This window comes from Homo sapiens, chromosome 11, assembly GCF_000001405.40.
Source record: "Homo sapiens chromosome 11, GRCh38.p14 Primary Assembly".
In the NCBI taxonomy this organism is placed as follows: domain Eukaryota; kingdom Metazoa; phylum Chordata; class Mammalia; order Primates; family Hominidae; genus Homo; species Homo sapiens.
In genome coordinates, this window is record NC_000011.10 from 31,881,291 (window position 1) to 31,898,612 (window position 17,322).

The following is a 17,322-nucleotide window of genomic DNA, read 5'->3' on the forward strand; positions in this document are numbered from 1 at the left end:
GCTAATTTTTTTTTGTATTTTTAGTAGAGACGGGGTTTCACTGTGTTAGCCAGGATGGTCTTGATCTCCTGACTTCATGGTCCGCCCACCTTGGCCTCCCAAAGTGCTGGGGTTACAGGTGTGAGCTGCCGCACCTGGCCAGGTTGGCTTCTTTACACTTCTAAGGAATTACTTCAAATGCAAGACCTTTTTTTCTCAGTTTCTTTTCATTGGCCAATTTTTAAAGCCCACTGTAGATGTATTAACCAAGACTCTTTCTGTTACAAGTGGCAGAAATCCAGTTCAAAGAGGTTTAATTACAAAAGTTGTTCATGGTGCTGAATGAGCAAGACTTCATGGATGCCTGGATATGGGTGCTCACATGATGGTATTCCAAATATCTCTCAGGTGTCTTTTGGCTCTTCTCTCCTGTTTTGGATCCCTTATCAGGCATGGTCACCAGCAGTTCCAGATTTACTTCTTAGTATCTTCAGTAGAAACAGCGAAACTTTCCCCCAGTTGTTCTAACATGGAAAGAAATGAAGCACATGAAACAATGTTGAAACTATGAGGTTTGCACTGGATCTGATAGATGTCAAGTACTGCTGTGTTTCTCTTGAAATTTTAAACTCTCCGAGGCAGCCCTGAGTGTTCTCTGTGGCATCTCAGTGTGCTTCATCATACAGTTTGGGATCCAGTGTTGTTGGGTCACTGTCTCCCCTTGCCTGACCTGCTGCTGCTCTCTGTCCTAATTCCTGGCCTCAGCCCTTCCTGTTTGTAGAGTAGTATTTTGAATCTCATCCTCGATTTTTATTAATGAATCACCTTAAGCAGGTTACTTGTTCTTTCCACACCTGACTTTCCTCATTGGTAAATGGTGATTGTACTATCCACCTTGGAGGGCCATTGTGAGAATTAAATGATATTCTCTGTTTAATATGCTGAGTGAAGTTCCCCAAACACAATCAGTATTCAAAGTTGCAGCTATTATTCTCCTTGTCTTTCTTCTACATATTGTTATTACTATCACTACTTGGAGCAGCTATATTAGTTGGCATTAGGCTTATCTGTGAATGGCAGTAAACCCCACACAAGTAGCTTAAAGACAATTGGAGGTTTATTTCTCTCACATGCAAATATCCAGGAAGGTGGTCCAAGGCTGGTGTGATGTTACCTAGTGTCAGGAGTCCAGGCTCTTTCTGTCTTATTTATCTGTGGTTCATAGGTCCATTTTCAAGGCCACCTCATGGCCCAAGTGGGCTGCTCTAGATCCAGCTCTTATGCCCCCCTTCCAGCCAGAAGGAACAAAGAAAGGGGAGGAGAAGTTCACACTCCCTCTCTTCCTGGAAGGTGCACACCCCAAGCCTATACAACTCTCATTGCCAGAGCTTGTCACACCTAGCCGCAAGGGAAATGGAGAAATGTAGTGTTATTCTGAGTGGCCACGGTGCGCAGCTCAACGTTTTATTACTATGGAGGAAGAGTAGGCTCTGCCACTGCAGGACTAGAAAAGGACCCTAGAAGCTGGACTGACCCCAGATGATGCAGCTCCGAGAAAACTATGCTTCTGCTTAAAGGGAAATACTGTACATCTTTTGCCACCCGAGGAATGCAAAATTCCCTTGGGAATTTTTAAGAAAGCTGGAAGTTAAAACTCAAGTGTGAAGCTCTCTTCCCTGAGCCAAGGAGCTTAGTTCAGTCTTTCTCCTCTGATTGCCAGCCGGGGCTGGGGAGAGGCAGAGCACTGGCCCCAGGCAAACTTGGTTTGAGGCCAAATTCCAGGACTCTTGGGGCTGACTGGCAGCCACTCTGTCTGAGCAACCTGGGGGATCCTGAGAAAAGAATGAACATCCGAATCCCAGAACAAAATCAGCAATGATGATGCTCCTGCAGCCCGGGTCTGGCTGGGAGGCCACACAGTGGGGAGGATGAGGTCATGGTGACAAATGAGAGAAGGGGGAGGGCTCTAGAGTGCAGCAAGTCTGCCCACCAGCCAGAGCCGGGTGCTCAGAGCAAAGCCAGCCCCTCTCTTGTCTGCCACTGCTCTCCTGTGTGATCGTAGGAGAGTCACAATGTTTTTGGACTTCAGTCTATCCAGTGAGAAGATAGGAAACACAGCAGCAGCGGCTAGGTTCAGGAATGTCCAGAAAGTGAATAGAATTATTAAAGAAAAAGGGGCTTGGTTGCTAGGGGTTTGGGTGGAGCACAGAGGATTTTTAGGTCAGGGAAGCTTTTGTGTGACACTGTAATGATGGATGCATGACATTACACATCCTTAAAACCCTTAGGAAGTATAGCACCAAGAGGCAACTCTAATGTAATCTATGGACTTTGATTGATATTGACGTGCCAATGTAGGTTTATCTATTGCAACAAATGGACTACTCTGGTGGGGCATGTTGATGATGGGGGAGGATGTCGGAGAGTGAGAGGAGTATGTTGAAACTCCGTGTATTTTCTGCTTCATTTTGCTGTGAATCTAAAACTACTCTATCATCTAGTCCAAAAGCCTACTTTAGGGCTATAAAGACAAAGTAATCAGATATTAAGTAAATAGTGATATTTTATCAAGGATGATGTAATAAAAGAGATTAAGGAGTCCCCCCAAACATTCGTGTACCATGAAATTGCTCACATCTTGGTGTTGAGTGGTCCCGTCCATTCGATGGGTATGGTAGTTTAATTTGGAACTTGGAGGGAGGAAGTAGACAAAAAACACTGCAGTTGCATTTTCTGCATCGCATTGGTATACTTTTAGGTCATTCCAAGATCACTGCCTTTTAAGATTTAGGAGATACAGTTACCTTTTGATGATCTGCAAGTGCTTTTGTTCAGCATGTAGGTTTCCTGCTTTTTGAAGAAAGCCAGGATTATATATTGGCCTGAAGACAGTGCAGCAAGAAGCCCTGCGCTAGCGCTGTTGTGGCTAAAATGGTGGTGGTGCATCTACTGTCCAATAGAACTCTCTGTGATGACAGAAATGTTCTAATTTGTACTTCTCTGATGTGGTAGCCACCAGCCACGTGCAGATACTGAGCACTTGAAATGTGACCAGTGCAATTGAGGAACTGAAAATTTCATTTTATATTAATATCTTTAAACTACAAATTTAAATCATTTTATTTTAATAACTTTAAATTTTAATATTTTAATACTTTTAAATTTACATAGCCACACATGGCCAGTGGCCACTATATTAGACAGCATGGGTCTAGGGCTATATCCTTCAGTAGTGCTTTTCCTACTCACCTCATGGTTTCTCAGGAGTTTGCTTTGCACGTTTCTGTGTGTCTGTGGAGAGGAGGGAATCATGTACAGGAATGCTGCAGGAATTCTAATGGATATGCCAAAGGCTTACCCTCAACCCACAAATATCTCAGACCCAAAATGCTGGAGCATCCTACTACATATCTACCTTTCACCTAAAAAAAAGAAAACATACAATGGAATCCAGGAAACAAGGCAGGGATTATGTAGAATTTCTTCGCTGTATATCTTGTTTTAAAAAATACGTCATTACATTTATAGTTGTATTATGTATAATGGGTCATGGGATCAAACTGAGGTCTAAGGCTAGTCCTGGCTTTTGTGTCTTTCAGGATTTAGGAGATACAGTTACCTTTTGATGATCTGCAAGCCCTTTGCTTGCTGCCTTTTTTGCTTTGCTTGCCTTTGCTACTAAGTTGTTGTCTGGCATGTGACAGCCCTCCTGGATTTCACTTTCCCCATGGTTAGTAAATAAAATGGGATAAACAACCCGTCAGCTCTCTGATATTATCTCAGATCTGAACAGAATATATTATTTTTTATTAAAAAATATGGAGACAGAAAACTTTACTTTAGACTGGTCTAAATCTGTAGCAGATTATTCAAAATGCGTACCATGTTCTGCAGTATGTTGCAAAGGAGAAAAGGGCGCTGTGGTGCAACCAGCTTGGGATACACAGGTTAAGGTTACATAGGTTTCTTGATTTTAGGACTCCTCAAAGCCTTTAATATTCTAATGTGCATTATGACTTTTCAGGTGGGGAATCCAGCTGCTGCCTTTCTCAAAAGACCCTCAAATTATTTCTGCTGGAGGAGTGTCTTCCAGGAAGGACTAATGGTTTGTGGAATACACTTTGGGAAATGCTTATCTTGAGGCAGCATGAGTGTTTTTTCGGGACTCAGCTGTCTCCCCAACTTTGGCCTGTCCTTGCCTGTCATGCGGGGCATGCAGGAATGGAATTCTGCACATGGCAAAGGGCTGAATCCTGCTTTTCTTCACACAGGTGCAGCTCCCCACAGCACCAGCTCTCCAGCTGCCCCCACACAGCCTGTTTTGTGCTAGGGCTATCGCGATTTGCAAATTCCTTCTCTAGCTCAAGTGCATGGACCCAGAAAATGCCCCTGCTTGAGGGCCAATGTTGACCAAGGCCCTCAGCAGTAATGTGACCTCTGTGGGAGCAGCACCTCGCAGAGGGCAGAGTTTGGCTCTATGCTTGTACCATTGGTGGTAAATTCTGCTGAGCTCTATGGATCCATCTGGATGAAAAGGTCTGTATAAATGCAAGATCATTATCATCATCAGCTGTCCCAGTTGGAGCCTACTGATTCTCAAGCCCACAGTCAATGGGGCCTTTCCAACAATTCCATTGTACATGGCTTGGAAAAGGTGTAATTACACGAAGCTGAATATCTTCTGGAGAGACAGACACGTTCATGTCTGTCCCAGGAGTGTTGGAGAGGAATCTCTCAGGCCTCTCATTAGGCACATGGAGAGAGGTGCCCTCCAGGCCTGGCCCAGGTCAGGGACAAGTCAGAAGCTACATCTGGAGCAGATCCAGGATCTTATCCTGGTGCACACGAGGGGCCAGCATCGTGCTTGCACATTTATAGCTCAGGTGCTCTCTGGTGTTACCAGGAAGCTGCTGGGAAGAGACGGAGGCCGGAGAGTGTCCCAGGACAATGCTTCCTTCACTCATGTTCATTTTTAACTTTAAAAAATGGCCTCCATGATCCCCAAAATGGTCTTTTGGTGTGAGGGAAGTGGTTGCTGTAAGGAAAGTCTCTGCTCGACACACACAAAAATTCTCCTCCATGACTTTGGACCATGTCTCTGATAAAAAGACTGGCTGGGTGAGGAGTCCAGCCTGCAGACCTCCCATTTGTCCTGAGTCCTCTGTTGCAGTGGTCCTCAATCCCCAGGTTAGGGATCAGTACCAGTTCCTCTTAGGAACTGGGCCGCACAGCAGGAGGTGAGCAGCAGGCCAGCCAGCAAGCATTGCTGCCAGAGCTCCGCCTCCTGTCAGATCAGTGATGGCATTAGTTTCTCGTAGGAGCGTAAACCCCATTGTGAACTGGCCATGTGAGGTATCTAGGTTGCATGCTCCTTATGAGAATCTAACTAATGCCTGATGATCTGAGGCGGAACAGTTTCATCCCAAAACCACCCCCGCCCACTGTGAACTCAGAGAGCACCTCAGCCTATGGTCAGGTACCATCTACAGCACTTGTGCCTTAAACACCCATCAGCAGATATGAAGATTTCCCAAAGCATGCCTCAATTTAGGGTTGTGCAAACTAGTGTAGCCTCTTGCCTATAAATGAAGACTAAGGGCTCCATCCAACCAGCTCGCTTGTCTGGGTCCAGTCTCCAGAACTCTTCCAGCTTCCCTGTAGTAAAAGAACACACCTTGGTGGGCATTGTTCATTTATCAGTGCACAGGGCCACGTTGACAAAGTCTTAATATTTAATGGCTTACGAGTCTAATAATAAAAAAATTAAAACTCTATCTCTCGTTGTTCTTAAAAATGAGCCTGATTTATCCCATTCATTAGGCTCTTATGTCTCTGTCTGGAATCAAGATGTCAGATCTTTAGCCTAAGTAACATTAAGAGTAAGGAGGATAATGCAAATAATGCCCAAGGTTGCCCTTAAAAAATCGTAAAGAAATGAATAGGCTATCCCAGCTTTACTAGCACATATTTCACAAGTTGTGCTTAGCAAATACAGTCCTCATGAGTGCCACCTTTTATTTGGCAGTAAAACCTCCTCTGATCCCATCTGCAAACCCAGTACTTAGCATGGAAGGATCCCATTAGCTAACATCATCTGGCTCAGGAGCGCCCTCTCCAGGTGCTGATTTTCATTCATATCCCAGACTACCAGGATTGCACTTAAGGTGGGTGGATCACGAGGTCAAGAGATTGAGACCATCCTGGCCAACATGTTGAAACCCCGTCTCTAACAAAAATACAGAAATTAGCTGGGCATGGTGGTGTGAGCCTGTAGTCCCAGCTACTTGGGACGCTGAGGCAGGAGAATCGCTTGAACCTAGAAGGTGGAGGTTGCAGTGAGCCGAGATCACACCACTGTACTCCAGCCTGGCAACAGAGTGAGACTCCGACTGAGAAAAAAAGAAAAGAAAAGAAAAAGATAGGGGAAGGTGAGGAAAGGGAAGTAATTATGTTATTTTGAGTCTAGTAGGCACTGGATGAGGTGCTCATATGTCCTTCCTTAAGCCTCTTCCACTTGACCCTCAACACCTATCCAGGAAGTAAATTTTATTATGCTGGTTTTGCAGATGAGGAAACTGAAGTTTGCAGGCATTAAGTAAAGAATCCAAGTTTCCATAACCTTGGAACTGGAATTAGCAGGATGCTGGGATTAATGCCAGGATGACCAGCTTCTCATTCTCTGTTCTTCTGACTATCCCGCACATGCGCCCTTTGCCTTTTTTGTCTATTTCTGATGTTACCACTCCTACTCATGTGACCTAAGTTAGTAGTTATTTAATTTCTCCTAACCTCAGTATTCTGACCTATTCAATGGAAATAGCAATATTTGTTCCACTGCCTTCCTTGATTGCTGTGTGGAGAAAATGAGATAATATGTGAGAAAGGGAAGGAGAGAGGCTTTCTCTGCTTCTTTCTAAAAGTTTCAGACCAGTTCTATCCAACTCAGTCCAGGAAGGGAGAATGACTAAGTGTGTGGAGAGAATGCTCTGGGTGAGTGTGATTCTAGAGTAACACATCAGCTGTTTATACTCCATATGAGCACATCTCAAGGTATGGGAAGTTTGTTGGGTTTTTTTGTTTTTTAAATCCCACACCTTTAAGATGAAATTCTGTCCCACTGAGACCCTGCTGAGCAGAAAATAATAGGTATCAACCACCTTTCCTCAAGCTTCCTCCACCTGAAGCCTGAGAGCAATGTGGCTGAAGGGGGACAGGAGGTGTGTGGTGAAGGGATGGAGAGGTTTCTAGCTTGAATGATTTTTTCACTAGGTCAGCTCGTGGCCTCCGTGACAGTGGGGGTGAAATTATTAAAACAGAAACACCTTCACTGCAGCAGGTTCAGTTGTGACACATATGATGTTTTATAAAGTCCATATTTCTGTCCAGTATGGGAAATTTTCAGATCAAACCTCAATCAGAAAGTTATTGAACTAGCCAAGAAGAGGAAGATAATGTGGAGACAGAATTGCAGTCCCACATAGGATGGGGCTGTGGGCCAGGGCACACAAGTGCAGGTTACAGGGAAGCACAAAGCCATAGGGCCAAGGAAACAGAGAGAAGCAGTTCAAGAGAGGAGTGCATGAGGAGTTCTGGGCATCTTCTAAAGTGTATGGAAGAGAGATAATCTTCTGAGAGTCACTTTTGGCAGAGCCCATGCAGATTTTTTAAAAAACCTTTTAGAATCTTGAGAACATTTCAAATGTGCAGAAAAATTGCAAATATATCCAAAGAACTCCCCAAAACATATTCTTTATGCAGACTCACCAAGTGTTAACATTTTGCCACATTTACTTTGCCATGCTGTCCCTCTCCCTTCCTCTCTCTCTATAATTTTTTTCCTGAACATTTAAGAGCAAGTTGCAGACACAATGACATTTTACTCCTGCATACTGTGTGGATTTTCTGAGAACAAGGTCATTCTTTTATATAACCTCGGTACAAATGTTAAAGCTAGGAAATTTAGCAAAATTTTTATTGAATCCAGAAGTAGGTAAAATTTTTTTCTGCAAAGGGCCAGGGAGTAAATATTTTCAGTTTATGGGCCAGGGGTGTTCAATCTTTTGGTTTCCTTGGGCCACACTGGAGGAAGAAGAATTGTCTTGGGGCACACATAAAATATACTGACACCAATGATGTTGATGAGAAGAAAAAACCCTCAAAAAAAATCTCATAATGTTTTAAGAAAATTTACAAATTTGTGTTGGGCCGCATTCAAAGCCTCCTTGGGCTGCATGCAGCCTGCAGGCCGTGGGTTGGCAAGCTTGTTATAGGCTATACAGTCTCTGTCACAACTATTCATCCATGCCTTGGCATACAAAAAACAGCCATAGACAATACACAAATGATTGTACATGGCTGTGTTCCAATAAAACTTTATTTGAAAAAATGAGTGGCAGGCCAAATTGGGCTACAGGACCATAGTTTGCTGACTGATGATCAAACCTGTGTCTTTCATGATTGACATTCTTTTTTTTTTTTTTTTTTCTGAGACAGGGTCTCAGTCTGTCATCTAGGCTGGAGTGCAGCCATGGCTCACTACAACCTCGACCGCCTGAGCTCAAGTGATTCTCCCACCTCAGCCTCCTGAGTAGCTGGGACCATAAGCATGCGCAATCACACCCAGCTAATTTTTTGTTTTGTTTTGGTTTTTTGAGATGGAGTCTCACTCTGTTGCCAAGCTGGAGTGCAGTGGTGAGATCTTGGCTCACTGCAACCTCCACCTCCCGGCAAGCGATTCTCCTGTCTCAGCCTCCACAGTAGCTGGGATTACTGGCACAGACCATCATGCCCTGCTATTTTTTTTTTTTTTTTTTTTGGTATTTTTAGTAGAGATGGGGTTTTGCCACACTGGCCAGGCCAGTCTCAAACTCCTGACCTCAGGTGATGCCCCTGCCTCCGCCTCTCAAAGTGCTGGGATTACAGGTGTGAGCCATCACGCCCAGCCCACACCCATCTAATTTTTTTATTTGAAGAGATGAGGTCTCACTATGTTTTTTGTTTGTTTGTTTGTTTGTTTTTTACACAGAGTCTCGCTCTGTCGCCCAGGCTGGATGGAGTGCAGTGGAACGATCTTGGCTCACTGCAAGCTCCATCTCCTGGGTTCACGCCATTCTCCCGCCTCAGCCTCCTGAGTAGCTGGGACTACAGGCGCTCGCCACCATGCCTGGCTAATTTTTTGTCTTTTTAGTAGAGACGGGGTTTCACCGCGTTAGCCAGGATGCGGTCTCGATCTCCTGAACTTGTGATCCTCCCGCCTCGGCCTCTCAAAGTGCTGGGATTACAGGCGTGAGCCACCACACCCGGCCGAGGTCTCAATATGTTACCCAGGCAGGTCTTGAACTCCTGAGCTCAAGGGATGCTCCTGTCTTGGCCTCCCAAAGTGCTGGGATCACAGATGTGAGCCACTGTGCCTGGCTAATAATTGACATTCTTGAAGAGTACAGGCCAGTTATTTTGTAAAATGTCCTTCAATATGGTTTTCCCTGGTGTTTCTTTGCAATAAGATTTAGGTTATATAATTTTAGCAGGAATATAACACAAGTGATGTGCTTTTCTTAGTACATCATAGCAGGGCCACGTGATGATGGTTGGTCCTCCTATTGGGGCTGAAGCATATGTTTTTAAAATGAGGGATTTGAGTAATTTCAAACAGAATAAGAAATGGTTCTGCAGATGGTAGCAAGAGCCGTGGCACATAGAAGGGATATCTGAAGGGGAGGACCTGGGCAAGGAGAAGGGGGGCATCCAAGCCTTGCTAGAGCACAAAAGTGGAGCAATAACAATAGTTATTAGTAATAATGAGATATTATGTATTGAACACTAATGTGCCAGACACCATGAAAAGTATTTAAAAATATGTCATCTCCTTTAATCCTCTCATAATGGTATGAAGCATGATCTATTATTATTCCATTTCACAAATGGAATAATAAAGGTGTAGGGGAGGTGGGAAAGGGCAACAGTAGCCCCAGTTCTTCTCTCCTCCCTATATCTGTTGCCGTTGCCATGTAACTTTGCTGTTCTTTCCACAAAAGGGTCAGGGTATTGTAGAGGAGGAAAAGTATCTTTTCCTCACCTATTGCTAGGTTCATGGCTAAGGCCTCTGTAACAAAAGATGGTTTAACAAAAGAAAAGCTTACAAATTTATTTAAGATAAGTTTTACATGACACAGGAGCTTTCTAAGGAAAGGAACACTCAAAGAAACAGTTAAACTTGTGTATTTTTATGCTAAGTTTGACTAATAATGGACAATCATGAAGACAAATAATTGGACAAAAGGGTTATGGTGTAATGGTAATAAACTGGGAGAACTTAGCAAGGCCTCTTTGGTCAGATTCTTCTCTGATACCCTGTGTCTTCAGAGATAAAGATGTTTCTTTCCTCCAGGTATAGGGAGAACATCTTGCGAATGGGGGTCTTATATGACCCATTTCAGGGTAAGGTCAGAAAATCGTTCTTAGGTTTTGTGACCTGCTTCAAGGGAGAAGAGCGAGAGGAAGGTGAGAGTGACTTTCCTTCTCCTGCTGTTTCCTCAGATGCCAAGGTGCCATATTTTGGGATAGTGTGTCCTGAACTCTGTCACTGTATTTTCTTACCCCTTGGTACTGAGTTTTGCTGTGTGACTTCTTTTGACCAAAGGAATGAGGCAAAAGTGACCATGTGCCAGTTTGGAGCTTAGGTCTTAGAGACTTTGCATGTTGCTGCTTGCTCTCTTGTGCCTCTGTCATTGCCAAGAGAAGAACATGATGTGGGCTCCCTCTGGTCCTGAGAAGAGGATGAGAGCTGTGCAGAGCAGAGCTTTAGTATCCAAGCCCAGCCTATGTCAACCAAACCTCAGTTGACTTGCAAACTTGTAAGAAATATAAAATGATTGTTAATTTAAGTCACTGTGTTTGGGGATGATTTGTTATGCAGCACTGGCTAACTGATATAAAGGACTTAATTAACTTGCCCATGGCCACACAACTACAGTAGTCCCCACTTGTCCAGGGTTTTGCTTTCTGCAGTTTCAGTCAGAAAATAGGTGAGTACAATTCAATAAGATATTTTGAGAGAGAGAGAGACCACATCCATACAACTTTTATTACAGTATATTGTTATTATTGTTCTATTTTATTATTAGTTATTATTTATCTATTACTGTGCCTAATTTATAAATTAAAGTTTATCATATGTACTTATGTATATATAGGAAAAAACATAGTATCTATATATGGGGTTCAGTACTCTTTGAGGTTTCAGGCATCCACCAAGGGTCTTGAAACATATCTCCTGCAGATAAGGGGAGACTACTATACCAGTTATGCAGCCAGATTTTGAAGACAAATGAATATTCCATAAACTGTCATTTTAACCATCATGCTCTAGTTACACATTGCTGTATAATTTACGCTTATGTGGATCTTTCCCCAAAATCCTTTTGTTGACTTTATAAAGTCCATGTGTTCTTAGAGAATCAGGGGTTCTTAAAATGTTGGGGATCATTTAGAGAATCTGAGCCTGCTTCCTTCTCCCCATCAAAAGATCAGGCAAACAAACATACAAGACTGCACGCAATTTTGGGTGGTTCATGGGTTCCCCCAAGCTTTTTCATGAATCACCCGGAAATGTATGAACTACAGGTAAAGAATCCTGGCTCTACATCTGAATCTGATCCAGGTAGACCCTCCCTAATGGCTACAATCAAGATTTTTTATTATAAAAAACAGGTGGACAGATTCACTTGCTAGATTCTTCCCTTTCATTTGTGTAGCATTTTCTATATTTGATGCCAAGCTACTTTGTTTATCCTCATACCTCCCATTTCCAAAGCCCTTTGGCTACACTTTAAAAACCAAAAATATCTTCGTGGTAATCTAGAAACAAGTGGGTTTTGTCAGAGTTGCTCTCCTGCCCCATTTTCTTTGCCTTTGCCATGATTTGTTCGTGTTTCCGGCTTAAACCAGACCATATTTAGAATACCCCAGTCAGCCCCTCATTCTTCCTTTCTGGTAGGGCTTGGTATTGGTTTCTCTCTCAGGCCCAGTATCCATGTGTCCAAATGCTATGAGCTAGAAAGATAGCAATAGCTGACATTGCTGAAAGCTCACTATGTGCTAAGCATGGAGAAAAGTGCCTTTTACCCATCATCTCACTAAATCCTTATAACAACCCAGGGAGGATGTTTACATTATTATCATTTTTATAGCTGGGGAAGCTGCGGCTAAGAGCTAAGTAAACGAGTAAAGAGTGGTGCCGGGACCTGAACCCAGATTCCATAACCCGTATTGTTACCTACTGGCCTTCTTTAGCACTAAGCCTCCGGACTTCTCTATTGTTTTTTGGGTCATCTTTTACGCTAATTGAAGGCAGAGTCTATGTCCTGTAATGATCTCCTAACTCCGTTTACTCCATAAATGATAGCTCTCCTCACCCCCATGGGCTTATAGTCCCAGGAATGAATTTTTGTTTGGCTTTCCTGTCCAATTTTGTTCTTATCACTTCAGTTCACGGAATTGGGCCCTTTCTCTGAGCCCCAGTATGACAGGCTGGCCCTGAAGAGATTTCGTGGTTGATAATTGGATACTGTGTGACCCCCAAATTACCCTGACCCTCAATCCACTACTAATGAATCCCTGTGGAAGCCACCATGTTGATGGTTGTCTACTGTTCATGAGATGCCCATGCCTTTTCTCTATGGGTTGCAATGGCCAGGAAAGTTTTCCTGGGGAGATTGAACCTGGGCTGGTCTTTGATAATCTGAAAGGCATGGGGAAAGAAATCATTCATGAGTACAAGGATGAACTCCAAAGAGGCTGTTTCTAGGAACATAAACAAGTAAGGATTCAGTCATACAGTGATATTTTGTGTCCACCGTTTTGGTGAAATTAGTCCTTCTTCAAGCAGCTGGATTTGTATAATGCAGCCCCCCCCCAACCGAGCCCACCCCAAAAAAGAGGCTTAATTTGTTAGACACATGCAGGCAATATACAACTGTCTTTTAGGTAAACCTCATAAAAAGAGCTGATAAAGAAACACATCATCCCTTTATTAGAAGGAGAGGAGAAGTTGGTAACTAAGAGGTCACCAAAAAAAGGCCAAGGCTTCTAAGGTTTTGTTTCATTGTGTTTTAATCTCTCTCTGGTCAAATAAGGACAAGTGTTATCTAAATGCCTAAGGAGCAGCAAGTGAGATGGAAAGACCAGAAGTCAGGTAGCACTCCGGAAATCAGTGGTCCATTCACAGGGAAAAACTGAAAGTGCTCCCACCCTGGGACCTGAGGATTTGTAGTTTCAAAAGTGGCCAAAGGAGGAAAAGAAGAACCCTATTGGTCATACTGGGAGGACTGGGACACTGATGAACTTGCCAAAGTCTTCAGGGACAACAAACGGTAACCCTCATCATCCAGGTCATTGCTGCCAAGTCAGGAAGCTTGGTCAGTCACCTCAGACAATGTGGGCTGGGTCCCTAAGACCAATACAAGAACATAGGAGCAACCAAATCCTCAGTGTGTGGGAATGTGGGCCCAGGGTGGATTACAGGTGAGCTGGGAGGTTGTCAGTCAATCTGTTATAACTTTAAGTTCCCTGAGTTTGCCAAAGGCCTTAGGGTAGGAGTGGAATTCAAGACAAGTAGCTGGATGCAAGTTTAAATATGCAGAGATGACCCTAGTCTCCTCCATCCCCTACGTCTTAGTGTATCCTACACTTGATGGGGTGATGGTATTTCTTTGGAGAGAGTAAAAGTGAAAGTGGGGTGGGATGGTATTTGTTGTCTCTTTCCTTTCCATCTCTACCAAGTAACACTAGCTTTCTGTTGGAGGGAGGAAGCTGATTTTTATCCTGACTCTTTTCTCTTAGGTTGAAAGTTTTAAAATTTGTCTAACTTCCGAGAAAAATCCCTCAATCTGTTCTTTCTTTCTTTCTTTTTTTTTTTATTTTTTATTTTTTTATTTTTTTTTTTGAGACGGAGTCTCGCTGTCGCCCAGGTTGGAGTGCAGTGGCGCGATCTCGGCTCACTGCAGGCTCCGCCCCCTGGGGTTCACGCCATTCTCCTGCCTCAGCCTCCCGAGTAGCTGGGACTACAGGCGCCCGCCACCTCGCCCGGCTAATTTTTTTTTTTGTATTTTTAGTAGAGACGGGGTTTCACCGTGTTAGCCAGGATGGTCTCGATCTCCTGACCTCGTGATCCGCCCGCCTCGGCCTCCCAAAGTGCTGGGATTACAGGCGTGAGCCACCGCGCCCGGCCTCTTTCTTTTTTTTAATGGTTCAATCTGTTCTTAAGGTCCAGAACTTCCACTGTTTTCCCATCAGTCTTTGTTTGAGAGCTAAGAATAGCAAGGAGGTTCCTAAAGCAAAGTTAGGAATAGCAGAACTAATTCCTTGACTCTGGAGAGCTTGTGGGCCATAAGATGCAAATGAATGTTAAATTGATCATTGATATGCTAGAAAACTTCAACCCAAGGCATCTCTTGATAGTTTTCTTTGACCTCCTATGTCCTTCAGGCCCACTGCAGAATTAAATACTACCCCGTCTTTTAACCCATTGCACTGTGTGTGTGTTAATAGAATTTATCACATTGTATTGCAATCAGTTTATGACCTACTTGAGAAGACAGACTGGACCTTCCTTAATTTTTTTGTGCCTGGAACCAAGTAGATGTTCAGTAATTAATTGTTGGTTGACTTGAAGTACATTTTCATGTACCTGCTAGAATCAAAATTCTTTAGAAATAAAATATGTAAAACATAAACTTTGATAGAGATGCTCTTTTCATTTATCTTTTTCTCAAGCTTTCCTTTAAGTCACTTCATCTTGCTTTTCAACAGACCATCTTATTTTCCCCTGGGAGTCTGGACAAACCTCCTCTCTACTTCCTGTCAAAGATGAATTCCCTCTTAGGCATTCTTAGAAGTATAGCACAGTCATTTAAAAGTTATTTTAAAAATGGAGTAACCTCCACTAACATATCTGACATATCTGCTAATATTAGAAGACTTGGATTCTATAAAAGTTTTTTTTCCTAAAAAGCATCGCATTGATCAGTATCATGTATTTATATGATACTGATCAATGAGGTGCTTTTTAGAAAGCAGGATTCAATTAATTGAAGCAGCTCTTTACAGAGATGGTTTTTCCCTCATCAATGGATTTTCTCTAGTACTTTTTTCACAGGGATGTTATGAGGTGATAAGAATAAGCTTTGACCTTAGAGTTAATCTGGAGTCTAGAGTCCTCTGTGTTTTTATAAAAATACATCAGAGTTGCAGAATTAATCACCATTGTGCCTTGTCCAGGGCCCCAGGGGTCAGTATATAAGGAAGTTGTGTCCATTCTTCAAGAACAGAGACATCTCATCTAGGGATTAAGAGTATGTGACAGATTAAGGAAGTTTATCCCTTTAAGCATGAAATCTTTTCCATTATTTTAACAATCTTAGATGGAAATCTCTTTCAAATGCATTACATGCTTACCCATCTTCCTTTTTTGTCTTTTCTCTGCTTATTTCCTAAGTCCTCAGTGCTTCACATAGTTTACTCTTTTCCTAGGGGCTCAGGGCAACATTGCAGCTGAGGCTGGCCATTCTACAAGGAAGTCCCAAGGTTCTTCATTCTAGAAAACCCATCTGGGATTGTTCACCTTTCCTACCTCTCCCCCATTTCCCAAAATGGAAATAATATTTTTTTTTTTTGCTGGTCATAGGAATAATAGATATTGTTGAAATTTAAATACAATATAGGGCTATATAAAGTATAGATAACAATTGGGAATGTATCGTTTAGGAATTTTTAAATGCATAAAAACACACACTACTTGTTAGCTCTATGACCTCGGACAAGGTGAGGAACCTTCCTTTTCTTGCTCTTGTTTTCTAGTCTATAAACTAGGGATCACAGCAACCTTACGGGATTGTTGTGAGGGTCAACTGAGCAGTTGGTAGAGTAGCTGGCATATAACAAGGGTTCAATAAATGTTTATTCTTTCCCCTAACCTTCCCCTTGGTAAATTATTTTAAGAGATAGTATAGTTTAAAATATTAGTTCCATGGGCTCTTCCTCCAGTGCTGTCAGTGAACATTTATTGAGATGTGACCATGTGTAGTAATGACAACATGATTGAATATGTTCTGTGTGCCAAGTTATCTATTTTAACTCTCAAAACTCTTATGAGGCAACAACTATTGACTGCCCCATTTCACAGATGAAGAAACTGAGGCTTGGTGAGACCAAGTAACTTGCCAAGATTACAACACTAGAGCCAGTGGTGGGTAGAGCCAGGAATTACATGGAGGAAGCCTGACGCCAGACACTGTGTGCTCAATAGCCACATTATTTTGCCTCGCATTAGACCAATATAATATAAGAGAGAAGGATGTCAAGCTGAGGAGATAAAGTATGGAGATATGCATAGGTCACTAATTCCCAAACACAGGTATCTATTCTCTCTTGGGCTTATCTTGCCCCATGGCGTAAAGGAGGCTTCACATGGCTGACTCCCTCTGCTCCATGTTGGACCTGACAGTCTCCTGGCCTTGGATGCTCCACTCTTACTGCAACTGACCCACACTAACTGAGCTCTCCTCTACCAATGCCTTCTCCATGCCCCCTTCAGCTAGTGGCTCCACTACTCCTCTCAGGCCTGGAATCTCTGCTTCATGCTTCCCTTTCTTGGCTTCTCTTCTCCTCTGTCATCCCATTGTTCTTTCTTTCCTTTGAAAGGCCTCCTAGTTCTGTGGTTACTCTTCATTTCTCATCAGTTCTCTAGGCCAAGCCTTCATGACTTCATGCCTAGATAATGACAAGAGCTTCACTCCTACTTTTTGAAAAACCCAGTTTCTCTAGATGCATAGAAACTCAAATATTTGGAACTAGAAGACTTTTAGGAGACCAACCACCTAGATTTCCAAAAAATGTGTCTCCAGAATCTGCCTTTCTCATTTAAGACTCAACTCAAGAGGTACTTCCTTCATGCCACTGACTCTGACTCCTTAGGGAATCTGTGCTTTGGGTAACATTCGTTCTGCTTGCTCAGCTGGGTGTAGGGACCAGGTGCTCTCGATTCCCACCCCCCACCCCCACAGCACCCAGCACAGGGCCGTGTACACAAAATTTGTTCAATAGATAACTATTAATTGATGAGTCAGTGAAGCAAACAATTGTATAAATTAAGAGGGTACCATAGGGACTGCAGCAATTAGGAAAGACTTCATGAAAAATCAAGATGTGTGGTGGGCTTCTGAGGATGAGCATTCTGATTAATTTTATTTATTTTGACCAGAAACAAAAATTAGATCTGCAAAAGGGTTTTTGCATTGCTTTTAGGTGGTCTGGGAGATCTGGGGAGACGTGGCCTTCTCACAATTG

At 42.9% G+C, this 17,322-nt stretch overlaps 1 long non-coding RNA gene across 1 annotated transcript in view; it reads left to right on the plus strand.

Annotated features, from left to right (window-relative positions):
• Nucleotides 1–5,751, plus strand: part of PAX6-AS1 (PAX6 antisense RNA 1) — a 70,476-nt gene extending 64,725 nt beyond the window's left edge. The window contains exons 2-3 of the long non-coding RNA NR_033971.1: nt 4,004–4,084; nt 4,251–5,751. This is a non-coding gene — a long non-coding RNA (PAX6 antisense RNA 1). The remainder of the gene's footprint in view (nt 1–4,003; nt 4,085–4,250) is intronic.
• Nucleotides 5,752–17,322: the final 11,571 nt, after the last annotated feature.